At 52.6% G+C, this 25,732-nt stretch overlaps 1 long non-coding RNA gene across 5 annotated transcripts, besides 3 other annotated features; it reads left to right on the forward strand.

The window, feature by feature from the left end:
* Positions 1–276: 276 nt before the first annotated feature.
* On the forward strand, positions 277–24,253 carry LOC105375027 (uncharacterized). Of its 5 annotated transcripts, XR_007059554.1 has the most exons (5): positions 278–513; positions 13,936–14,098; positions 17,237–17,351; positions 18,028–18,134; positions 18,365–18,713. It is a non-coding gene; the product is annotated as an uncharacterized LOC105375027 (long non-coding RNA). The 5 variants fall into 5 exon arrangements; XR_007059555.1 differs by lacking the exon at positions 17,237–17,351 and having other exon boundaries at positions 277–513; XR_002956341.2 differs by lacking the exons at positions 278–513; positions 18,365–18,713 and adding exons at positions 20,992–21,199; positions 21,956–24,253 and having other exon boundaries at positions 9,434–17,351.
* Positions 5,203–5,252: an enhancer, noted in NCBI's record as "active region_24370". NCBI's record gives its function as "activates an Ori minimal core promoter by ATAC-STARR-seq in GM12878 lymphoblastoid cells {active_cell/tissue: GM12878}" and the evidence as "EXISTENCE:reporter gene assay evidence [ECO:0000049][PMID:35858748]".
* Positions 7,056–7,556: an enhancer, noted in NCBI's record as "H3K4me1 hESC enhancer chr6:33830758-33831258 (GRCh37/hg19 assembly coordinates)". NCBI's record gives its function as "activates a minimal SCP1, AML or CMV promoter by ChIP-STARR-seq in naive H9 embryonic stem cells {active_cell/tissue: H9 hESC(naive)}" and the evidence as "EXISTENCE:reporter gene assay evidence [ECO:0000049][PMID:30033119]".
* Positions 22,678–23,178: an enhancer, noted in NCBI's record as "H3K4me1 hESC enhancer chr6:33846380-33846880 (GRCh37/hg19 assembly coordinates)". NCBI's record gives its function as "activates a minimal SCP1, AML or CMV promoter by ChIP-STARR-seq in primed H9 embryonic stem cells {active_cell/tissue: H9 hESC(primed)}" and the evidence as "EXISTENCE:reporter gene assay evidence [ECO:0000049][PMID:30033119]".
* Positions 24,254–25,732: the final 1,479 nt, after the last annotated feature.

Below are 25,732 nucleotides of genomic sequence, written 5' to 3' on the forward strand. Positions count from 1 at the left end.
CCCCCAGCTGAGTCCTCCCCTCCAGATCTCAGTTCCTGTAAAGGAAGGTTGCTAGTACTGTCTGAGGAAGGTGTGAAAGGGAAATGGTAGTCCAGCCGGGAAGGAAGGAAGCAGTAAGAGTTCCCCAAACAACCTCCCCTCCCTCCCTGGCCCCAGACTGCACCCTGAGCTCAGTTCTTCCTGGTCTCCCCAACTCCCTTCTGTCCAGCGCAGCCCTGAGGTGCCAGGTCCAGTGACACAAGGCTCTGTGCTGTGAGGATGCATTCCTCTGGAGTGGGCCAAGGTCCACTGGCTGGGGAGGATCTGAATAGGCCTAGGCTTCAGAGCGCTCCCTGGGCTGAGCTTGGACCTCGGGTCCAGAGAGACCATCTCCAGAGAGGAAGGTTGGCTTCAGGGCTGCCCAGCTGGTGCAGATGGGGTCTGGGCCTCTCCAAGAGTGACTCCCACCTGCAGCTCTCTGACCAGACCAGAAACCCGCAGGAAGAGCTGGCGTGAGCCCAGGGCCCCATGCAGGTACAGAGTGGGCTGCCCTCTTCTGTGTAGCTGCCTCCTGCTTCCCATCAAAAGGCTACAAGGAAGGAGGTTGTTGTTTAGGTGGATAAACTGGACCCATGGCTGACAGCGGCCTCTGAGGTTACAGTGGAACCTCCCCTCAGGTAGTTCTGAGGCTGGGGAGGCAGTGGGAGAAGCTCAGGGGTAGGGGTGGCACTTGCTTTCAGGACACAGCACTTTCCTCTGCTCTGGCAAGCCCTCGGGGGCCCTGGAGCAGCCATGGACAAGTGCCGGGGTGGGGAAAGGGGCTGAGAGATCTCTGGGGCATCCTCCCTACCTGCTGCAGCCCTGAGCATGGGGAGGGCTGGGGACAGGGGTGACAGGCACATGCCACACTGCAGTGCCCACATCCGCCTCTCCACCCCACTGAGGCCTCTCTCTGCGGTTGCCTGCTGTGGTCTGGTTTGAGTTTATCACGCTTGTGGCTAGCTCCTGTGGCAGGGTGAGGTCTCAAGCCCTGTATCCCCTGGGCTCCCCTGATGTTGGGCTGGGTCCTGGTAGATGCCCCACAGGTATTTAACACTCATGTCAGAGCATGCCACCTAGCCCAGATGCATTGCCAAGACCAGAGAGGGCAAGGGAGGGGCCCAGAGTCCCCCAGGCAGCTGGCCCAAGACCCCCTGGGCCCGGCCAGGGCTGGGGTGGGAGAGGAACCAGTCCCTCTGGATGTGCAGTGGGAGGCAGCACCACGTGCTCCCCGTCCCCCCAGTCTGGGCACCTGCATCCTCCGAGCTGCCCCATCACTCTCCCCCTTATGACAAATGGAGGATGAATAATTCACGGGTGGCTCTGGCTTTATGAAGTATTCATCCCTCCCTGGCCTCCAGAGTAATTAACTATCTGGCCAGCACACTGAGTATCTGTAACAGCCCATTAGCAGCGCCTTGCCCTACGTCAAACTGCCTCTCTGGCTGGCCCAGGGTGGATGGGGTCTTGGTTCCACAGCCTGGGTTCTCAGCCTAGAGCCAACTATTGGATTTTGCAACGAGCTGGAGGGTTGCAGATTAGATGCCTTTATGGGCTTCCAGAGGGAACGGTTGAGGTTAAGGAGGGTTTTCCGCCTCTGGGGCTAGCAGGGACTTTAGAGATCTTTCTCCATGTGTGGCTGAAGGGGTCCGGAGTGGGGAGGTTGCTGGCTCCAAACTTCATGCTAGTCAGTGGCAGATGAGGGAGCCCCAGTCCAGTGCTCTAGGCACTAATGAGGCTTCCTGCCCGTTCCCTCGTCTTGCTCCAAGTGCAAGAATGTCTCCAAAGGGGTGCTGAGAGACCGGAGACTACCCCTTTACCTTGCCCCAGGCCGCCCACCCCAAGGTGCCTGGGAAGGGGGTCTGGCCTAGTGGTAGGGAGCAGGGATACAGCAGAAGTGCCTAGTATTTCCCTGACCAGAGGCTGACTCAGCAGGGCATCAGGACTGGCTGCCCTCCCCAGCCCCCTCCACACCTGAATCCACTCACTCAGCACTTCCCACTTCCCTACCGGGTTCTATGGGCACCATCCCTGTCTTCCTGGAGCACTGGTGGGCACTGGGCAGGCTGGCAGCTCAGAGACCCAGAGCTAGGGTGGAGGGGGCACCGGGGCCCGCAGGAGTCAGAGGTCAGGCCCAGGAAGGAAGTGGGCAGCCAACAGCTTCCCTCATTCTGGCTGAGGGCCCACAGCCAGCCTGGAGTTTTTGGCTGATGTTTGGGATCCGTTTCCCCAGCTGGAGCCAAAAGGATGGGGAATGAGGGGGAAGAAGCCTACTCATCTCTCTTTTATTTTTATTTTTTTTTGATACATATTTTTTTGGCAACTCTTGAACCAGAATAGGTTCAGAGACACTCCCTGCCTAGTCATCTTTTAAAGCTCAGCCCACAGTGGTAGCCTGGGGTGGGAGTTGGGGGATAGTGACTGCAAAGGGGCGGGAGAGAACTTTCCGGAGGGAACTTTCTGGGGGAGATGGAATTGCTCTATATCTCGACTGGCATGGTGAGTACCCAGGTATCCACATTTGTTAAAGTTCATCCAACTGTTCACTTAAAATGGGTACATTTTATTATTTATAAATCATACCCCCAGTAAATCAATTTAAACAAGAGCTCTGCCCAAGGTCATCCCCTCCAGGAAGCCATTCCGGGTGCCCAGGCTAGGCTAAGAGCCCTCTGCTCGGCTCCAGCAGGACCCTAGACCACTCCTGCCTCAACATTAACCAGCCTGGATTATTAATATCCGATCGTGGCAGCCTCCTGTGGCCTGTGGCCCCTTCCCCTTGGAATCCCCAAGCCCCAGCGGTGCCGGGCATGCGGGAGGCACACTGGTATTGATGTGCATGGGGAGTGGGCATGGTGTGAGCATGCCTTCTCTTTCTTGGGCTTCGAGGTAAGAATTTGGAGTCAGACAAACCTGGGTTCAAATCCCACTTCTGCCACTCACTGACTGGGTGGCCTTAGGTAAGTGACTTGCTCTTTTTTGAGCCTCAAGGAGAGATGCTAATGAGCTGACCTCCCAGACGGGTGTGAGGCTTAGAGGTATTAATGCAAGCACTCAGCACTGCCCCGGAAGGCACCACTAAAGTGCTACCCTGCTCTCTACGCCAGGCCTCCTTCCAAAGGCCTTTCTTGCATGAACTCATATAGGACTCACTGCCACTTTGTCATTGTTGCTATCCCCATTCGATGTGTGAGGTAATGGAAGCACAGGGTGGCCGAGCCCTTTGCCCAGAGCTGAGCTGGTGGAGGCGGTGGGGTGCACGCTCAGGCAGTCTGGCTCCAGTCAGTCCATGCGGCTGCTCTACTGTGTCCAATGGATGGCAGCTGCTATTTGTGTTATATTATTTCTCCTTCCCCGGTCACCAGAACCAACTCCAGTCTTTAAGTTCACGGTGACAGTTAATGGGAAGCTTGCTCAGGCAAGATCTTCTCACCACAGCGTTTCTGAGTGGAAAACAGGCTGGGCCCCACTGCAGGCAAACGCCCTCATGTTGACAGGAGCCAGGCAGATTAGCTACGTGGACGGTTCAGCTCAATTCCCAAACATTTAGCCAACACCAACGAGGTGCCAGGCAGTATGCTAGCACCAGGGAGCAGAGGAGGGCTGGGAAGATGGAGGACACACCCTGGGCCTGTCCTGGAGGGGCAGAGTATACCCAAGAGGGCCGCCATACCCCAGCCATACTCCAGTTTCTCGTTTAACCCTCACCTGGTCTAGGCTTTGGAGGGGATGTTTGTCATTCTCTTTGACCACTCAGACCCTAAGAAGTTGGAGGAAGCCCCTGCTCACCCCATATGTCCCTGTTTCCCACTGTGGAATCCCAACAGCTGCTTTCCCAGACCCTGCTGTGGCCAGGGCAGAGACACAGAGCCACGTTCCACCAAGGGACCCGAGAGAAGGGCCCCTGAGCAGGCTGCTGGGGCGAGGGTGGCTGCAGGCACAGTGGCGTGGCAGGGGTTTCAGTGTCAAAGCCTCCGTGACGGCGGTGAGATGGGATGCCGGGGCCTGCTCCCATGGCAGAGGGATCTCTGTGATCTGGCCCTGCAGTAATTTCAGACGATATTCCTAATAGTGTAGCTGCTGAAGGGCCTCAGGCCCTCCCAGTGACTCTGTGACTTGCTACGTATCCTAGAATAAATTCCCTTTCTGCTTAAACTACTTGGAGGTGGTTGCAGGGGTGGTAGTTCAGCAGCTGGGCTGGTAGGGCCCTCATCCTACGACCACCTCACATAGGGCTGCTGCACAAGCCACATGGAGGGGCATGGGCCAGGGCCTGCCGAACCTGCAACCCTGCTCCCCACCCTGGAGCCCCCGCAGGACTGACGAGGAGTGCAGACAGCGGAAGGGGTGTGTGGTGGGTATGGTGTGCTGGCTCACTCACTTCCCATTCCTACTCTCCCTAGCTGGGCTTCCCTTTCTGCCCTGGGAGTCTGGAAAGCTAAAACTACACTTCCCAGACTTTCTTGGGGTTCTTGGGTTCCAACCATGTTGAGATTCTGCCAACCTGACACAAGAGACTTTGGTTTGGAGCTGAGCTGTGAGAGGAGGAAGGAAGGGCATGAGGTGTCCATTTTACTACAGCCAGTCATGACATCGGACATCTGAAGGCCGCTTTTATATCCTGCAACTTCCGGAGGCTGCAGAGGCAGCAGCCCGCTTGCCGGCCCCATTCTGGGGTGTGCTGTTGGGAGTTGTTCCTGGAAGCTCAGTTAGTTCGTTTATTCAGATCTTCTAGTGCTTTTGTGAGCCATCCACACCCCTTGATAAATGCCCTTTCCTTAAACAAGAATCATGGGATTCTGTCACCTGTATCTGAGAACCCCTTCCACCCTGCCCAGCAGAGTCCCAACCTTCATCTGTCCTCCCCTTGGCCTGGGGGCCCCTCCTGCTGCCACTGCCCAGTCAGCTTCATCCTCCCCAGCAGAGACTTCCTCACGGCTGTTGCCAGTGCTCAGCTGTTCCCCTAGACACCTTCTGAAGACCAGAGCCATAGAAATGTAAGACTCCTCAAAGGGCATATATGCTGGAGCCCTGCAGCTGTTCCCACCGGGCTCCAGCTAGGAGAGTTCACAAGCAGATGGGCTTTCTACCTGCAGACAGGATGTCGTTCAGGATTTAATTGGATAGAGAAGACTCCTCTGTAGCTAGTTTAAGCAGGAAGGACTTACTACTGGGTATTAGTTTACACAGAATTGTCAGAAGGGCTGATGACACAGACTCTGGGTTGGGCTTCCAGGAGCAATTCTTGAAGCCTTGATGCAGAAGTGGGTTGCCAAGAGAGCTGCTGCCTCTTCTGCAATCGTGAAGCTGCAGAGTCTAGAAGCTTCCTGCAGCTGTTGGCTCCAGAATTACATCCTGCCTGCCACGGTAAGGAAACTGCTGAGTCAGATAACTACCTGCTGAATCGAAAAGTTGCTGCTACCGTTGCTGGTTCCAAAACCATGCTGCTTCTGCCACTGTCTACACCTGAAAAGTGAGTGCCCCACACCCTGTCTCTTTCCTCACATGACTCAGCTCCAAAGTCAAGTCTCATGCAGGTGCATGTATATTGGTGACTCCAAATCACACCTGGAACCCTAGCTGTAAAGGAAGTCTTAGTACTGTTGCAGGTGGAAGACAGGTTGGGTGGGCCAAGCTGTTGCATCTGCCCTCTTGCCTTCCTGCCACTCCTGACAACATCCCCAGGGTATGCAGGACTTGAGGGCGAGCCGGGGCCTGAGAGATCCATGAGCTGGGAGCACCAAGGGACTGATGTTGGGTACGGCATTCAGCTCTGGATGGAGGGGGGAGGAGGGCAGTGGCACCACTATTCAGATTAGGGATGCAGAGTGTTAAAAGCAGGGGCCCCAGGTCAGCTGCTCCACATATAAGCAGACGTGAGTCCATTAGGGACAGAGAAGAGCCCTCATGCTCAGCAGCAGGAGCCCTGCAGAGCCCAGCATGTAGCTGAGCAAGTGTGATGTCCACATAGGGACCAGGAGGTGGTGGTGCCTGTGTGGAAATGAGCCAGCTTCCTGTGGGGTAGGCTCCAGTCTGCTGCCAAGCACAGAGCCCTCTCAAGAGCACTAGAATGGGTACAGGCTGCCAGGAGACCTAAGGGAGTAAGGGGCCACAGAATCTCCGGACTAGCTTCAGGTTCCATTGGCCTCATTCCCTAAGGTCACATGGATGCCAGGTTAGAAGGATCAGGGCAGAGATGGTGCTAGAGTTGGGGGAGGTTGGGGTGGGAGGAGACTGGGCTTGTGGCCACTCCCAGGAGCACATTTTCCACAGCAGCATCTTAAATAAAGAAGCCTGTTGATATTAAGACTGTGAAGGTTCTGACAGGGGTACTGGAAGTGTGAAGAGGATGCAGGAAGGTGGTGGTCCAGGAGAGGAGCCACTCCCTCTCTGCTTGGTGTCTTGGGGTCCTCATCTATGAAGATTGTTATCATGCCTCTCACGGGGACTGTGATAAAGTTGGAGATATGAGTTAATACATGGAACGCTCAGCACAGGCTTAACACAGACTAGGTGTTCAATAAATACTATCATCTTCATTAAACATTAGGCAGGGAAAGAGCAAGCCAGGTGAGAGGGAGTGCTTCTCATGTACACATTCCTCTAATGCTTAGAATTCTCAATTCTCAATGCCTTCTCAATGCTACACCTTCCCACAACCCTTACCAACCAGGCTGGGAGCTCCCTGGTGGGGTAGGACCAAGTCTTGATTCCGGCATTCCTAGCCAGTGTTCTAAGACACATTCTCATTGGACAGATACAGGTCACATGACTACTCCTGCTCCATCTCTGGGCCAGGTGTCCAGGTGCACCAATTGGCTTAGCCCAGGTCATGTGTTCCACCGCAGGGGGTAGTGAGTGTTTCCCCAGATGTCCAGGATCCCCCCAAAGAGAGCAGGGGCTCTTGGGAAGAGGGAAAAGACGGAGGGGAGAAGTTGAGGGGAAGAACCTGTGTTCACCATGGATGCCCGGAGACCACTGTGTAGGATTCCTCCTGTCTAGACCAGTCCTTCAGCCTGGGGGTGGGAGGGCCGTGAAGGGAGGGGCCCAGAATCCTAGGGAAGAGGCCCCTCAGGCAACTTATGTCTTCACATTCACGCCAAACAGTCTCCATAGAACCTGCCCATTTTGCCCTCTCAGCCTGCTGCCCCTGTTGCGTTGCCCCCACCCCTAATGGCTTTAACAAGGATTCTGGGGGGAGGTGGAGGAGGAAGGGCAGGTCTGTAGGCTTGTGGACAGGAAGACCTGAGAAGGGCCTAAGACACTCTGAGGAGGGACCCTTGGTGGATTTCTCTGGTCCTCACGGAGCCTGCTGTGTCATCCTGCACAGCCTCACCCCCACCGAGAGGCGCTTTATTTATGCAATCTCTTTCTTCAGGGCAGCCATCTTGTCCACAAGCCTGAGCACCTCCCAGATAGCTGTTCTCACCAGAACCCCCCACTAATCTCTGAAAGCTGCAGAGTGGAGCGGCTGCTCCCTCTGGGGAGCTCCTTCTCCCGCTCCTTCTATGCTGCCCAGGAGCCACCCAGTCCTTGCAAGGGTTTCATCTGGCTCCGTGGACTTACATCCTCCTGTGGGCTCCTGAGGCCTCTGTCAGCCAAGTACCCTCTCCTACCCCATGCTAGGCCTTCCAGGCCTTCGTGTCATGTGCGGTCCCTTACCAGGAATGCCCTTGCCCTCTCCCTCCCCTCCTCGGAGCACCCACAGCTGCTGGCACCTGCCTCCAGCCCTAACCACACTTAGGACCCTGTGCTGCCGTGGTCGCCTGGCTACTGTCTCCCACTGCAGGAGGCAACTCAAGGCCAGGGCCTGGCTCTAATGGCCCCAAATTAACACAGTGCATGGGACACAGTAGATGCTTCAAATCTGTTGAAAAAAATGAATGCACACATGCAGTATCACCCAGTGATGGCTCACTCTCCACCCCAAAGCCCTCCAGGCGACCCTTGATGGCAACGGGGTTTCTTAACTCTATAGCAGCAGCATGGGATGCTGGCTTTACACTTCCTGCCCATGGAAGTCCCCGGTCAGAGAAAGTCTATTATGAATGATCTTGTTTGTGGGCTGTAATGAGCACAAAACCAGGTGCCTGGATTGTTTTCTTGACTAATCTTTCCTGCAGAGGTTGTGCAGGGAAAATAAATGCACGTGAAGAACATGTAGGCAAATCACAGATTCTGAATCTCTGCTGGTCTGTGTGTGTGTGCGGGTGTGCGTGAATGGGTAGGTGTGAATGTGTGTGGGGGGTAGGTGAGTGTGTGGGTGTGAGTGTGGGTGAATATGTGAGAGAGGATATATGTGTATGAGTGTGTGTGGATGATTGTGTGCAAATGTGTGCTTGAGTGGGTGGGTGTGAATGTGTGATGTGTGTGTATGTGAATGTGTGGGTATATGTGTGGGTGTATGGGTGTGACTGTGTGGGTATGTGAGTGTGGTTGTGATAGAGGCAAGAGGCAGAGAAATCCTAGGCAGACAGGGGTGGGTCCCTGGTGAAACCCCACATTCAAGCCAAAAACAGCCTGAAACCTGAGACCCAGAGTGAGAACTTCTACTCCTGTTTGCCTGCTCTCTCCTGATTGGTTTTTTTTTTTGAATAATGCCTTTTTTTTTTAATAATACCTTTTTACCAATCAAACGTTGTCTTTCAAATACTACCTGCAGCCCGCCCTGCCCCGATCCTGTGCCTGTAAAGACCCCAGACTTAGTTGGTAGAGACTGAGACGGCCTGACTTCAGGGAAGAGACGACTTGACTTCAGAGAGAGACACCCTGACTTCGGGGAAGAGACAGCCTGACTCTGGAACAGAGACAAGCTGACTTCGGGGAAGACAACCTGCCTTTCCCATCCCCTCTCCAGCTCCCCTCTCCGCTGAGAGCTGATTCTGTCACTCAGTAAAATTCTTTGCTCTCATCACCCTTCAACTGTCAGCATGACCTCATTCTTCTGGGATGCTGCACAAGAGCTTGGGACCCACTGATTGCAGGTACTCAGAAAGGCTGTCACACTGGTCCTTTGCCCTCCAGCCACACCATGCAATGGGGCCAGGGGCCAACTGAGTTAGTAACATGCCGCCATCCATCAGGCTGTGGATGGTGGAACTAAAAGAGCTAATTAGCACACTAACACCTGCTCTGGGTCTTTGAGATCATGGGCATCCTTGCCTGGGTGCTGCTGCATTCCCCTTGAGGTGACACGCCTGGTCTGGCCACAGGCCTCACACGGAATTTGCTCCTGTGTTGGTGCTTGGAGTGGCCGGCTGGATCCTGCACTCACTCGCTCCTGCGAGGGGCTGAGTATGGCGGGCCAAGTAGACAGGGCACCTCTTCCGTGAGTCTGGGAAATGGGCTGAGAAAAATCATGCATCAGTTGTGAATGTATGGATGAGTGTGTGTGTGAGAGAGAGAGTGTGTGAGACGGAGTATGTGTGTGAGTGTGTGTGGGGGGGGTGTGAATGTGTGTGTGTGTATATATATGTCGTTTAACCTGGTTCCATCCCTCCACACCACTCCATCCCTGGTCCTTGGGAACATATCTGGAATCAAAATAGAAATTAACAGGGATAATAGGGTTGAACATACCCATTTCTGTCCCCCGAAACCAACCACTGCTACTTCAGAAATTGATATGGAAATGTTAAAATCCAGACAAAACTCTAGAGCAAGAAACAGCCTTCAGACTGTTAGGAAAAATAAACATTACACAGGACCCATATGTCCATGCGCATAACTTAAACAAGGATTCATAGAAATTTACTCCTCCCAGCTTGTCACACACTCATACACTTGGATATATTCTACTTGTTTCTCTCTCTCTCTCTTTTTTTTTTTTGTAATGCTGGTCACAGCCCATGAAATTGATTTCACTACACACCAATGAATGGGTTCTTATCTTGCTGTTCAAGTCATCATCTTTGAGCATCTCCCCTCCCTAGGGCTTTGTAAGAGTGAATATGAGTAGCCAACTGTTCTGTGTGCTTGGTGGAGGAACAAGGGCAGAGGTGAGGTGCAGAGATGAGGATGAGAGAGTGTAGCGAGGGTGTAGCTCCCTGAGTGGAGACGACTAGCTCTTATAAAGGCATCAGCCCATGAAGACTTGATTGGCCATGGGCTGCCCCAAGAAAAGGGGAGACTGGCATTCTGCTGCCAGCCTGAGGGTCACAGCTTTGTAGGCACATTGTAGGGAATTTCCCAAAGCATGGAGGAGGACCTCACTCCCTTCATTCTTCCTCTCTTCCTCACTCCTTGTATTAGTCTGTTCTCACGGTGCTAATAAAGACATATCTGAGACTGAGTAATTTATAAAGAAAAGAGGTTTAATTGACTCACAGTTTTGCATGGCTGGCAAAGCCTCAGGAAACTTACAAACATGGCAGAAAGGGAAGCAAACACGTCCTTCTTCACATGGCGGCAGGAAAGAGAATGAGAGTGAGGGAAGGGGGAAGCCCCTTATAAAACCATCACATCTTGTGAGAACTCACTATCACAAGAACAGCATGGGGGAAACTGCCCCCATGATCCAATTATCTCCACCTGGTCCCGCCCTTGACATGTGGGGATTATTACAATTCAAGATGAGATTTTGAGTGAGTCACAGCCAAATCACTCCCCTCACCTCCTCTTGTCCTTCTCCTTCCCTCAGTTCTTGAGGCCAGCAGCAATTCAGTGGCTCAGTCACTACCAGGATCTGGCCAAAGGGGCTTCCTGTCTAGATCCTGGCCCACCTCCTGGCTCATGGCCCTGGATGAGCCCCATGCTTACCCTGGGGTGCTGGCCCTTGCTTCTGAGAGTCCTCAGATGGGCTGATGGCTATGCTGGGCTAGAGGCCTGTAGGTGAAGAGCCTCAGAGCCCTGCCCATTGGTTACTGGGTCATTAGTAATGGGGGTAGGGAGGGATCTGTAGATGTTGGTATTTGTTTTAATGCTTTCTAGAGCACAGCCCATCCCAAGCATATAATTTTCATTATATGATATCAACATTTAGCTTCAGCAATGGAAATGTCAACATTAATTATTTTCAAGGAGTCTTGATGGCTCTGGGAATAAATCAATATAAATAATGTTTCCATAAACTCTGAATCACGCTCCTAATAGTGTTATAGCTATAATTTTAATATTCAAAACAATTTTTCTTTGCATCTTAGCAATTAATTGCTGCTAAGTGCTCATTTTTTGGGATCCTTATTGCTGTCAGCTCAGAGCCAGAGGCTGGGGTCCCTGGCCCTGAAACCATTCCTAGCTCTCCTTGCCCAAAGAGTCAGGCTTGGTAGAACATCTCTTCCCCCCAAAAACATGCTTTTTGCTCTCAGCCCATTTAGAGTTTACTCACCCTTTGGCCTACTCACTCCAAGATCCCTGTTCTGGCTGCCACACCTGGCAGCGTGGCACTCACCAGCTTCATCCAGGACTCCTCGGGTAGACAGTGGGGCAGGTGGGGCAGTCCAGGGAGTTGGGCTTACCCACTCACCAGCTGTGTGACTCTGGACAACTGACAAGTGGCAGAGCCTAGGGTCATCTACCAGGCAGAGTTCTTATTTGCAGGTTACAGAGAATGACTCAGGTGGATATGAGGAGAAACAGAATTTATTAAAGGATAGCACATAGCAAAGGCAATTGACCAGGAATAGCATCTGAAATTCCACTGAGAAGCTGGTTCCAGAGGATGCCACTGGCACCCCGGAAAGGTCCTGGTCCCTGTGGTTTGCACAGCAGATAGGGCCAGATGTTGGGGAGCTGCTGGTTTCTGTTCTTACAAAGCTGCCTTTGAAAACCAGACATGGTCATGGCCACCTCCATCACCAGAATGGGGGGTTTTCCCTTCCCCAGCATGCTGCTTGAGGCCTGGGTGCTCCACTGACGTGGCCAGGGACACCTATCACAGCCAACCTGCAAAGGAGTATGAAAAAGTGAGTACAGGATGGGCGCGGTGGCTCATGCCTGTAATCCCAGCACTTTGGGAGGCCGAGGTGGGTGGATCACGAGGTCAGGAGTTCAAGACCAGCCTGGCCAAGATGGTGAAATCCCGTAACTACTAAAAAACTACAAAAATTAGCCAGGCGTGGTGACAGGTGCCTGTAATCCCAGCTACTCGGGAGGCTGAGGCAGAAGAATCGCTTGAACCTGGGCGGCAGAGATTGCAGTGAGCCGAGATCGCGCCACTGCACTCCAGCCTGAGTGACAGAGAGAGACTCTGTCTCAAAAAAAAAAAAAAAAAGGAAAAGAAAAGAAAAAAGAAAAAGTGAGTGTCTGGGATTTTGCATTTCTGTAAAAGGAGGCAGGCTTTCTGTTTAATAGAGCGTGGGGAAGCGTCCCCACACATAAGAAGATTTCAGCTGCTTGGAGTCAGAAAGAAGGGCAGACAGTCCCACTGTGGCCACAGGCCTCTCTCTGCCTGGTTGCCAAAGATCCTCCACAGCTGTTGTGTTTAATGTCAACATTCTTCTCAATGAAGAGCTATACAAGTGCAACTCCAAACACCTCTCTGTCCAATCTGACTTCTGCCCTGAGCTTCCACTTAGGATTCGCCTTCCCCCATCCATAATCTACAGGGAGAATGCACTGATGAGGGTTCTGGTCCCCATGACAGTTATATTTCTCAGGGTAAGTAAATAACTGGGGCCGTGCATGGTGGCTCACACATGTAATCCCAGGCTGCAGTTGGGGGATCACTTGAGGCCAGGAGTTCAAAACCAGCCTGGGAAACACAGGAGACCCTATCTCCACAAAAAATACAAGCTGCAGTGAGCTATGATTACACCACTGCACTGCAGCCTGGGTCACAGAGTGAAACTCTGTCTCAAAAAATAAAAATAATAAACAAGACATAGTTGGTATTTTGAGTTTAGAAATTGGTCTCTCATGAGGCTACAGCCATTGGACAATGCCCCTAGGCCCAGGTTCTTCTGAGCTGCCAGCCATTTAGGTTCCCCTTTACCAAGGCTGATTCCTGTGGGGATCCCAGCTGGCACCACCCATGACCATGAGCCATCGGTGCCTTTCCATTCACACAGCCACAGGCTCTTCCTTAGCTACCATGCAGCAGAAGCAGAAATCAGAACGTGTAGACTGTGGATTCACTCACAGAAAGGCTTAAAATCCCGTTAAAGGATTTATTGAAACATCAACCTTCACTTTAAAACAATGAAATTTTATTCAATTGGGACTCTGGGAATGTCCAGAACCCATGGCTCCTCAGTGCTAATGTGCTGAACGCTGGGTGCCTCCCAGTTCTGCACTGTGGGATGGACAAATGAATGAATGAGTGAATAAGTGGATGAAGAGCCTGTCCTCCTAGCCCAAGACAGGCGTCCAGCAGTCTGGGTGAGGAGAGGATTAGGGGTAAATGAATCTTTTGAGCACAAGATGACTGCTCCTTTGCTGGGGATGGGGCTGGGAGGCCAATCCAGGTAGTGGGTGGATGGGATGATCTCCTGGATCCCTTTGTGGGAATTTTTCCTGAAGATGCCCGAAGATTTAAGATTGGAGTCAAACAAGGAGAGCAGACACAGAATTGATTAAAGCAGCGGGGGATGGGATGGTCCTGCCCTGTGCGCATTGCTTTAAAAGGCCTAACAAAGGCATCAAATGCTTTTTTCTTTATGTATGAAGAGAAAAGAGGGAAATGTATAAGCTCCTTTTTTTCAAATGTTGTTCCTTCCGCCAAAGAAAAGATACAAGTATTTGTACTATAGCGCTAGCTGTCCATTTGATTACTATACCCAGGACAACAAATTTATATTATTCCTGAGCGAGATCTTTGGAGGTTAACTTTCCATCCCATAGTTCATTAATCTCTGCCATCCAGGGTTCGAGTGAGTACATTGGCTATGCTGGAGAATGTTTTTAATCTCCAAATTTACTCAAGAAGTTTCTTCTAACGGTTGCATTATTTCAACCTCATCTGCTTCACTCCTGTTCCAGGTCTCCTCCCATCCTTCCTACCAGGCCAGCATTTCTACTCTGTGCAGCTACCAGCGAGGAGGGCCTGTGGGCTCAAAGACCCAACAGGAATTCCTGCAGAAGCCCCATAGCTTGAAGAGGGACCGTGGGATGAATGAGCCTGCATGCAGCCTGGAATGCAAAGGTTGTGCTGCTCTCCCGCAGCAGAGGGAAAGGGAGAGGGGAGAGGAAGGAGAGGGGTAGGGAGGCCACAGTGGGACAGTGGGAGGGAGAGAGAACAGAGGGCAGGTGGGCTGTGGCCAGCTGCGGGGCTCAGGAGGAGCCGCAGGCCTGCCAGCGTGTTTCTCTGTGTTAGAACCGGCCTGAGAAAGAAACTACCTGGAGGTGGGAGTCGCGGGAAGCTGAGAAGGGCTGGCAGCTGAGCAGCTCTTGGACGTGGCCCTCGGCTCCTACCTGTGCTTCCCTGTGCAGGGAGAAAGCTGCAGGATGGCCAGGGGGTCCTGCTAGGGACAGAGCTCCCCACTCATCAAGGCCTGGGTTGGAGGGACCCCTGGGACAGTGCAAGAGGAGGAGTTTGGGGTAGGGGCAGAGGGCCTGGCAGGTGGCCCAGAGCAGCAAGCAGGTGCTCCATAGAGAATGTCCTCATATCCTTCTGCTGGGGAGAGGGACCTGACTCCCTAGTGCTCACGGGCGAGGGCCAGCTCTCTGTTGGATGAGCCCCCCACTGCATCAGTGGCAGCAGTTGTGGGTGTGAGCCCCAAATACTTCTGCTGTCTATTCAAAATGGGGATACTGGCAGGTTGTCTGCACCTCCCAGTAGTGCCGGGCTAGCTGGTGAGATGGCCCTGGGGAACTGCGCTTCCCCCAGTATGGGGTGTGGGTGAGGGTGGACGGGCCAGTGGAACTTCTGTGCTGCTGCTGGCCAACTCAGGCCTTCACTAGGCAGCCTCTCCTCTGTGGAGGACGGCTGAAACTGCAGGAGTTGAGTTGGAAGGTGAGGAGAGGGTCCCAGGCCTGGAGCAAGAACATGGCCATGCGTGTCTGTCCCTCCACTCCCTTGCGTGGGGACACCTTCCCAGAATGCTGCCCCCACCCCTCCTCCCACATCACTTTCCTTCCCCTCTCCAGCCCCTCCCCTCACTTGAAAGCCTGTACCAGGGGCTCCTCTCCTCCAGCCCCTTCAGCCAAGAGGCTCCAAGTTCTGGAGCAAGTATGCTCCCTCCCCTCCCCTCTGAGGGGTTTGTGGGGCCCTTGGGGCCTCCTGGGAACGTCCCAGGTGCTTCGGCCCAAGATCTGTGCTGATTCAATGCCACCCCCACAGCTGGGCAGAGCCTTGAGATGGACACTCCCTGCAAACCCTGCCCAGCCTAGAGCTGAGCACGGGGCTTTGGGGCCCCCCAATGGCTCTGCTCAGTCATTCTTCAGGGCCAGGGACCACCTTCTGGAGCCTGAGCCAGAACCTGAGCCTCCCTTCAGGCTCTTCTCTCAGCCACACCACCACCCCCCGCCTGCTTCTCACCGCCCAGCCCACATCAAGCCCTAATTCTACCCTTTTTATTCCATGTAAGAGCTTGCCCAAAAGGAGCTCTCGCCCCTAGCAACAGAAAAAGGCTTCTGTTCTTAGAAATACAGCAGCCATTTGTCCATGCCTGGAGACCCTCTTGTTCTGCCCTAGTACATCGCCTTCCCAGCTGTGGCCAGAAATTGGCTTTTCTTCCATTTCTACTTCCTTGCTGAAGCCATCTTCTCCACCTGTCTGGTGTTCATTGCACCAGGCATCCTGCTATTGCTATTCTATACTGGGGTTCTGGAGCAGCAGGAGTGTGGCCCCAAGGCAGGAACGCCTCCCATTGCCTTGATGACATTCAGCAAATCACTCTTGCCCTGGGGACCAGGTTTTCCTTCTGTAAAATGAGGGGGAGTGGACCTCATCATCTCTGATTCCTTCCAGCTTTAGAATCTGTTTCTGTGATGATGTTGGGGATTGTGCAGACCTAGTTTCCTTTGTTTACAAGATGTGGAGACTAAGAAACCCATAGAAGTGTGAAGTATAGAGTATCAAGAGCACTCCCTCTGCCTGTTCTGGGGTGTACACTGTTACCCACACTTCCAGGGAGAAAGCGCCCTGGTTGAGGGAGTGGTGCCAATGTGCAGACACATCCCAGCCTGGGACCCAGGGCTGCCCGTGCCCATCCCCCAATAGCCCTGCTGCTCCCTTCCCCCTCGCCTCCCTCCAGGGCTGTGGAGAGGAAGAAACGAGATGCTCCCTCTTCAGATGCCCTGCCCATAGGAAGGCCCATGCAGATCCTCGGGACTATGCTCTGTTCTGTTCAATCCACCTGGTGGGTCTGACCACCAGGACATGGCCCTGCCTTCCAGGGAGTAGACACTGTGTCTGCACTGTGCTCCTCTCTTGTGACAAGAGCAGGCTTGGTGCTATGGAGGCTTCCCAAGGCGTCCTGTAGGAGCATTAATCACTGAAGGAAGGGCCAGGGCAGTAGCAGGCCAGGGACAGTGGGCCCTTCCACGGAGCACAGAGCAGTGGGCCCCGCAGGAGAGGCAGGTAGGGGTGGAGGTGAGGCGCTCAGGAGCAACGCAGCCCTGTCTCCACAGCCCGGCAAGGGATTTTATGGAATACTTGAGAAAAAAATCATCAATGAATATGATGGATGCCCCCCAGCAGAGGTGCAGGGGTCCCCCCTTTTGGATCCAGGAAGCAAAAAGCTGGGGTCCTGGCCTGAGTCTGAGCAGAGGACAGTTTTGAACAAGGAGGTCCACAGGGCAAGAGGAGGGTGGGAGTGCTCCCATGCACATGGATCACTGTGCTTTGGAGTGTGTGTCCCCACTGATGGGGATGAGGATGAGTGTGAGACCAAAGGCAGCCCTCTTGGGGTAGGCAGGGGCCAAGGCCCACAGGTGGGGGCTGGGGAGGATGTGTTCTTAACAGGCGTGGCCAGACGCCTCCTCCTTCAGAAGACCTGGAAGAAGCAGGTGGAGGGAGAAGCAGAGTCACAGAGGCAAGGCAGAGACTCAGAGGCCCGGAGACTGGGGTGGCCGCAGGCAGGGCCTCCCCAGCCCCACTGCTTTCCGAGCTAGCTATCTCCAGGAGGCCAGCCTGCCCACAGGGCCCCAAAGCCCCAACCCCCAGGTGGCCCTCCCCTCTTGCAGCTGCCACAGTTTCTGCAGGGCTGCTTTGTCAGACCTCTTAGAACACAAGCAGCAGAACTAGGAAGGCCCTCAGAATGAAGGAGACGCAGGCACCGTGGGAGCCCAGGGCCCCTTTCCATTGCACCAGTGCTCCATCCTCCCACATCTCCCAAAGATCAGCCCTCCTCAGTGACCCCGGGAGCCCAGGAAGATCAAGGATCGAGACTGTCGCCCTGGACCTGCCTGCTGTGTAGCTCTGGGTGCAAGTCAAAGATCAAGCTGAAGTAAAGGTATGCTCACTCAGGGTTCAAGGGCTTATTATTAGTAACAATAATTCCCTACATATGTAAAATCTCACACCGGACATACGCTTTTTACATCATCTTGTGGCAGACCAGGTTTCACTAACACTGGCCTCCATCACAACTGTTTGAGTACTGACTGCGTGGTGAAATATTAAAAGATAAAAAAGTCAGTGCCCTTATACAAAGGCTGGAATGAAACAAAAAGCCCATCAAGAGTTTTGCCGTGGCCTTTCCTGGGTCTTAAAGCATGACATGGGAATTCTTAATAGGACCCATTTAGGATTAAACAAGCGTTACTGGGGTTCTGAAGAAACTCCCTAGGCCACCACAGACAAGTTTGTTGGGGATCTGAAGGAACTCCCCAAACCTCCGTGATTTAGCAGGAGACAAGATAAGGGTAATCACCCCAGCACCTGGACCCATTTACATTAAGTAAATTTACTAAGGCTCCAGAAGAAGGCCTTCAGGACTCAGACCTTAGTTATAGATTAAAAGAAGTTAATCACTTATGTCTTTAGAAGAATGCGCACTTATACATAGCCATATAGCTTAGAAGATATACAAGCTCTGAAAAACTTTGTAATTTTGAGTTGGTCTGGCAATAATTTCCAGGCCTTCTACCTAAAACCGGTTACAGAAATAAAAACTTCTTCCTCCCCAGTTCACCTGCATCTCGTTATTGGGCCATGAGAAATAGCAGCCCGACCCTCAGTTTGATCCAGGAACAATCTCACCAGGGCTTGCCATCAGCCCAGGACAATTGACAAGGTAAGTACTTTATCTCCATTTTACAGCCGAGGAAGGTTTGAAGAGGTTAGGAGGCTTGGAGACCACAGCTCCAGTGGTGGGATAGAGGGTAGTGGGCTACAGTTGAGAAACGGGGACCGTCGTTGCTCCTCAACCCACTTTTCTCAAGACCTTCATAGGTCTTTTTCAGCTCCCTGCACACCCAGAACAGGAGCATTTAAGAGAAGTGTTGCTTTTCATTTGTTCTTAAGACACTGCTCTCGGGCACCAGATACACCAACCGAGCGATTCTCAGAACCCCTAGCATGGGCCACAAACCAAACACGCAGAGCCGCAGCGAGGACAGAGGGTGCCGCGTGGCCCTTCCTGACATTCTTTCATCTGCACACTGTACCGTCAACTCATTTTCTGCACGGAATGAAGATACATCACTCTGCTCTGGAAAACTACATTTAGCATCTCCTTCTTTTTGTGGGGCAGGGAAGTTTTCATCGACAAAGCGTTTGTATTGCAGATGGCTCACCATATGCCACGTTCCTGCACGTTATCACCTTGTAAGCAGATTCTGTCAGGTTTTAGGAGTAAAAGCTTAATTAACAAGTGGTGTGTACAATTATGTACTTAATTATCTACTGCTTTTATTTCTTTGTTGTTTCTTGTTTTCCAAAAGTTTGGTAACAATTACAGGCAACTGTTGCCTAATGCAATTTCTCTCTGCACCTCTTTTTTTGTGTGTGTGTGTGTGTGTGTTTTTTTTTTTTTTTTTGCCATTTGTATGCTGAGAGGGGGCTTTCTCTTTTCTCCCCCCATCCACCAATTAGAACAGATAGACGCAACATGGGCCACTGATCTAAATCTCTGAGGGGTGGCCCACGTGTGTATGTGTGGGCATGTGAGTGTGTGTGTGTGTGTGTGTGTGTGTGTGTGTGTGTATTTTATTTTAAAAGAGTTTCCTGTGAGGTTGATCTGCAGTCCTGGTTAGAAACACAGACCTGAGTCTCCACGTTGCTGACTGGGCTTTCAGGGGATCTCATTCTTTCTCCATCTCCCTTTGCTGGCCCACCCTGGAGGCCAGTGGGGTTGGCTGGTCTAGGCTGGTGAGGAGGACAGGAGGTGCTGGGGGGACAAGGGACAGCCCTGCAGCACGGTGAGGGCAGAGGCAGCTTTGGGGAGCTGAGCACAGAAAGCAGGAAGAATTGTAATGGAAGCACAAGCAGCAGCAAGTTGGAGGGAACTTGCTGGGCTGAAGCCAAACCCGGAATGTGGGACTTAAAATAAAGTGAGTGGATTCGCTTGAAAGCACTTCTGCTCACATCCCTCTGAGCTAAGGAACTTCTAGAAGCCTATGCCTCCAGCACAGCTGTCTTTCATACAAATCCATGCAAGAGGGTGTCCTGTTTTAGGGAACCTCCCACAAGAGTTGAAAACTCAGTTATCAGCATGTGGTGACAGAAATGGCCCCACAGCTGACAGCGGAGGAGGCTGAACCGTCAGGTAGACAGCCCATCTGGCTTCCCAGAGGGCCGAGGGCTGGCCCTGGGTTTCTCAGCTGGCAGGTGGGGTTCCCTGGGCCCTAGTTCTGAAGCACCCTCCCCACCACACCCACCAGTGTCAGCCAAGGCTGGGTGCCATCCAAGAGGGCTAGGGAGAGTGGGTTGGAGGAAGATGCAAGGGCAGAAGAATTGCAGAATCAAGAGATCAGGGCTTCTCTTTCTCCAACTAGAGGAAGAAGCCTGAGGGACACTTCCCTGAAATGAAAACAGACAGAGGCCGGCCCCAGCATCACAGACATGAAGCCCCTGTTGCCTGCACGCTCACCGAGCTCTGTCACACCTCCTCTCTGTGCATCTGTCTCCTTATCTGGCAGCGGCTGGGTGAGGTCATCCAGCTCTGCCAGGCCTACCATCTCCTATTTCTTAGAGAAGAGTCCACTAGACTCCAAAGGGCTGTGCTCTGGGGAAAGCACAGCGGAGGACACTGTTGGGCCTGTCCTTGCCTCTGTGGTTTACCCAGGGCCTAGAACAGTGCTTGCCATGTGATGAGGGAGCTCAACAGGTGTCTGTCAAGTTAATGAAAATGTAATAGACATGCCATTTGCTGATTTGCCAGGCACATGGCTCCTTCTAAAGATAGCTGCTCTGTCCCACCGGGAGACCCCCAGGTCTCTGTCTGTGCCTGGTCCCAGCTGACCTAAGGGCAGCCCATCAAGGCACGTCAACCTGAGATGTGGTCTGGGATGAAGAAACGACACAGGGCAAATGGGTTCTGCTTCTCAGAAGGTTGATCTGGGAAGTACTCAGAGCATGAGTGATTAGCATTGGGCATTGAAGCTAAAAAGATCACTGGAAAGAAAAGGAAGAGGTGAGTAATAAATGGCTGAGGCAGCAGCTGCAGTCCTGAGTGGAGAGAGAATCTGGTGCGCCAGGAGGGGAGGCCCTCTGCTCCAACGTCCGCCTGCCCTCAGCATCCTGCATTGCTTCCCCTGGCAGACCCTTCCCTATGCAGAAATCTTTCCCTGCAATCTCAGATACCTTCAGGGCAAGCCCTGGGAAAACAAGCTTGAAATGATAGAGGCAGGAGGTGGATGCATCTTCCCACACCTGGGGTCCAGAAAGCAGCATCTGACCAACTTCAGAAACCAAACAAGAATTTGGGGACATGTGAGGGGATCATTTATCCAAGCTGGGATTTAGGGAAAAGCTCCAAACGTTACTTGAAGGGCCCCAGTAGAAGAATGGAAAGTTAATTGCCAGGACAACTTCCCCACTGCAGGGTAGGGTTGGGATGGGTGAGAAAGTAGGGGAGAAAGTGGTGACAGGTAGGAGTAGAGACTCAGAAAGCCTGAGGAATGAATGGGCACTCTTGTTCCCATGCACAGGATGAAATGGCATCTTGGCGCTTTTGCTGAACAAGGCAACACTGGGTCTGTCTGACCTGAGGACACTCCATCCCAGCAGGACCCTAATGGAGCAACCCACCTGGTCTTTCACCTGTCAGAGGAAAGCACCTCTTCAAGCACATGGCCAGGGAGGCTGATGGGGCTGGAAAGCAGGAACCATACACCACCTGGGTCTGTGCCTGGGAAGGTGAGCTCTTCCGCTGACCCTATACCTGCTACAGAGACCCAGACAGCAGGGCCCTCTCCTAAGTGACTTTCAGCTGCAGACACGGCTTCCATCATCATGCACCATTCCCTAATCTATTCCCTCCAGTGGGGAGGAATCCAGACTGCAAGGCTGAAGGCCACCTTCACGGAGAAGCATGGGTGGGCCAGGACAGACCCCCTCCCCAATCCGCTGCTGGCCACAGCTCAGGGACACATTGAGTCATGTAGTACCCTTCCCTCTTCTGTCCAGAGCCATTCCTCAGAACTGCCTTCAGGAGGCCCTGACCACTGCATGCACACGCATGCAGTGGAAGCTGCAGTAGGGTAGAGGACAGCTAGGAAGGTCAGGATGGGGCAGTCAGTGAAATTTGGGGACTGCTGGAAAAGGCTTGGGACTGTGCCTTCCTTGCAGAAGCAAAGGAGAGAGAGATATGCTCACTTCCAGAGGTGGAATCCAACTACCAGGACCAGGTTAGGGACCTGCCCATGGGGTCCCGGCTGCTCTCCATGCTGGTGATGGTGGTGTTCCTAGAATGACATCACACAAGTGCTGAAAGTGGGGAGTGGTTGGGAGGAGAGCCCCATAACTCGCTTGCTCTCGTGGGTGTTTCTCAGTCCTACTTCCCTGCCCCACACCAGAGGGTTGCTCTTCCAGCCTCCCCAGCCACCCAGCCCCACCACCCCTGCAGAGCCAGCTTGCCCTCTCTAACCCTCCCTTCTCCTGCCTCTCCCCCAGGTCTGCTGCTACCACCTCTTGGGGGTCCCCACCCTGAGCTCAGTGGGCCCCCAGCCCACACCACAGGCTGAGGGAGGCTTGGTTGTCATGGTGACGTCCAGGTACCCAGAATAAAGAAGGGGCTGCTGGGGAGTGGCACAGTCATCTGTACATCAAAAACAGTTGCTGGCTCTGCTCCTTTCCAGCTTTGCACTGACCTGTCTATCCAGGCCTCACTTGGGCCAGAGCCCAGCTTCACGAAGCCTTGCCTGGCCTTGTCAGGCACAATCAATTGTTCCCTCATCTGATCAGCCCTTACACCCGTCCACGGCAGGCTGGCCACTGCACTATGCTAACTTGAGCTGCGTCTGTTCCCTGGCCAGGGTGGGGTGCTCCCCTGCGGTCTACTTTAATGAGTCCACCCCCACCACAGCTCTCTGGGAGGGTTCCTAGGCAGACTGCACCTTGGCTGAGCCAATAAGTGGAACCCACCCCCCCTTCCTATCTACTCCTTTGACCCAGATCAAGCATCAGCTCCCGTGAGCTCTTCTCCCAAGAATTTTAGTCCTGTTCATCTCTGTGTTGACACCGTTCATGTCCAATAAGCTTCTCTTGCAGTTGATGGGTGTGGGGTGGGGTGAGGGCAAGAGGGCCCAAATGGGCTGCTGAAGCCAGGCCTGGGAAGGAGGGGCTAGGGAGCAGTGGGGATATGGGAAATGAGGGCAGGCCACGGCATAAGGAAGGGGAAGGCTGGCTTCCTGGCCCCTTGCTGGCCAGACACACTGTCCTGGAGCTCTGAGTAGCTTTAAACCATACCCACCAGGAATTAAGTGTTGAGAGAAAATGAGCCTGCAGGTGCTGGGGTTTGGAACAATGCCATGTGAAGAGGCCTCCTTTCAAGGCTGCTGGATCAGGTGACCTTGAGGACATCTCACACTGAGAGGGTGGGGTACAGCGTGTAAAGGTGTGCCTAATGGATGCCAGTGTGTGGAGGAGGGCCCACTCCATCCCAGGAGGCAGATGTTGGTCAGGAGCGTGAATGGGGGACTTAGCTCCTGGTCATAGATATGTGCAGGCGTCAGCTGTAGGACTCTGGTGAACAGGAGAGGCAGGTCCAGGTGTATTTACATTTCTTTCTGACTCTGCCTAATTATTTCTCCCAATTGCTCCCACTTTGAGCCCAGCCCAAGGTTGTCCTTTGATCAACACTGCCATGCCTCCCAACGCTAATCTGCCAACCATAAGCGTCCCGAGCTTCTCTCGCCCGGACATTAACCATGAGTCCTCTGGGCTGGCATGTGCAATGGGCCCAGCCGGAGTGCTGCTGGGAAACCTGCTCAGGGGGCGAGCTGAGCCTCCTGGGATAATTCTGACTAAATGATTCTTCACGGAGTTGACTTGAAATGTGATGAATGGGTCCCCAGTGCTCTTAAAGCCTCCGAAGTCAGAGCCACAGAAAAGACTCTGGGAGTGGCCTTGAGTCCAGCCCTGGAGAAAACCAAAGGTTGGAGTCATGAAGTAACTGCTTATCCACTCAGTGACGGCAGAGTTGAAACTAGGACCCAGGACTTGCCTCCTTCTTCTTCTCATGCCACAAAGATAAGAACATGCATTTCCTGACATGCAATTTGCTAACCTCTTCCCAGGTTATGTGTGTGAAAGTACCAGGCTACCAGATGGCGTTGAGTCCGAATTAAGGTGGTGTCTCATTGCATTTCACATCATGACCAAGCAATGTCTTACCACCCCACAAAAAGCCAACTGAGGCTTCCTTGAGTGGAAAGACCACAGTGTTGAGGGCAGGGGCTCTGTGAGCAGGTACCTAGAGCTAGAAGTCAAAACAAGGAAATGTTTCGAGGGAGGAAGGCAAGTTAAATGTCAGGCCTCTGAGCCCAAGTTAAGCCATCATCATATGCCCTGTGATTTGCACGTATACATCCAGATGGCCTGAAGCAACTGAAGATCCACAAAAGAAGTGAAAATAGCCTGTTACCGCCTTAACTGATGACATTCCACCACTGTGATTTGTTCCTGCCCCACCCTAACTGATCAATTGACTTTGTGACAATACACCCTCCCCACCCTTGAGAAGGTACTTTGTAATATACTCCCCGACCCTTAGGAAGGTGCTTGGTAATATTCTCCCCACCCTTGAGAATATACTTTGTAAGATCCACCCCCTGCCCACAAAAAATTGCTCCTAACTCCACCACCTATTCCAAACCTAGAAGAACTAATGAAAATCCCATCATCCTTTGCTGACTCTTTTCGGACTCAGCCCAACTGCACCCAGGTGATTAAAAAGCTTTATTGCTCACACAAAGCCTGTTTGGTGGTCTCTTCACAGGGAGGCGCATGACATTAAAGACAAGGAAGCTGCCCTCTTTTGTGTGCCCCTACCCTCTCCTACCCTCTCCCCTACCCTCTCTCCCCTACCCTCTCCCCTACCCTCACTCTCCCCTACCCTCAGCCTGAATCTGCCTTTGGTTAAATGCCTGATGGAATTTTGCAAAAATGAGAGATTTGCTCGGATCACCCCAAATTCCACTGGGTGGAGGATGGGCGGGGAGCTCCAGCAGTGAGAGCGTGGCAATGGAACTGCTTTGTCGAGCTGAGACAAGCATGTCTCTTCTGGACAGCAGATGGGCCCTCTTTGTGAGCCTGTCGCTGCAGACCCGTCTGGGTCCCTGTAAAAAGTAAAGGTTCCTCTATCAAACACTTTCCTCCCCGTCTAATTAGGAATAAATAGTAACTTCTCTTAGAAGCAAAATTTATTCAAAGACCTGTGCTAACATTCTTAAATATCTGCTAGCCGTAATAAAGAAATCAATATACTTTATGTTCTTAGCTCCCACAATTTAGCCTAAATATTTGTCCTGGGTTGCTTATACTGGTCCAAGCAAGCATTAGGTCATAGCCTGTTCCTCTTCCTTATTTGAAGGTGTTTTTACCTTTCTCAGCATTACACAAGTTACTTCCTCCTTCCTTTATTCTCCTCTACCTTTGCCTCTTTTAAAAAGTTCTCAGTTGCTAGCCAATCAGGACAAATACAGAACGTGAGGTCCCGTTCCAGCCAGTGGAAACCGGATACAGCAGTAGGGTGGACGCGTCAGGTTATGAATGACCCTGTCTCCTTCGTTCGGTGTACTCGTGGCAAAACTGCTGGCGAGTGTACCCTTCCTCCAGGAAGTAAAAATGGCCTTGCTAAATAAATTTATGTTCAAGTACGATTTCTTTACGGCACCGGAAAACAAGCATTTCAAACAATTCAGCTGCTAAGGGGAGAACTATGCTCTCAAGATCACACTCAGCTAAAAACCTCACAGGTCCTCAGGTAGTGGCAACAAGGCATCCTAGCTCACATTGATTCCTTTGGCAGTTTACAGGTTTTAATACACATTCCCATGTTATTTTGAGTCTCTTAACCATGGACGAAGAGTAAGGAGAAAAAAGCTTCCCTATGCAGGTGGGAAGACTGATCTGCATCCACTCAAAAGTGAAGTGGAGTAAAACGATTCCAGGCCAGTCCGTCTCCATGCCACACGAGGCCCCGTGCCCCAGGGCATCCATGGGAGGCCACAGCTGTTGATCATAGTTCTTCCCTTTGCCCACTTTTGTCTTTACAAGTAATCATTTCTCTGTTTCCCATCAACATCTCTGTCCCAGGCAGAGATGTCACCCTTCCCCACCCTAGGCCAGACTTGAGGCTGCTGTCCCTGGCACCCCCTGCAGAGCCTGCCCCTCTGGCCCCCCCACTGAGCAAGTGAGTGTGTTCAGCAGAAATGTTCCTCAGCTAGC

The sequence above is a fragment of the Homo sapiens genome, chromosome 6 (genome assembly GCF_000001405.40).
Source record: "Homo sapiens chromosome 6, GRCh38.p14 Primary Assembly".
NCBI lineage: Eukaryota > Metazoa > Chordata > Mammalia > Primates > Hominidae > Homo > Homo sapiens.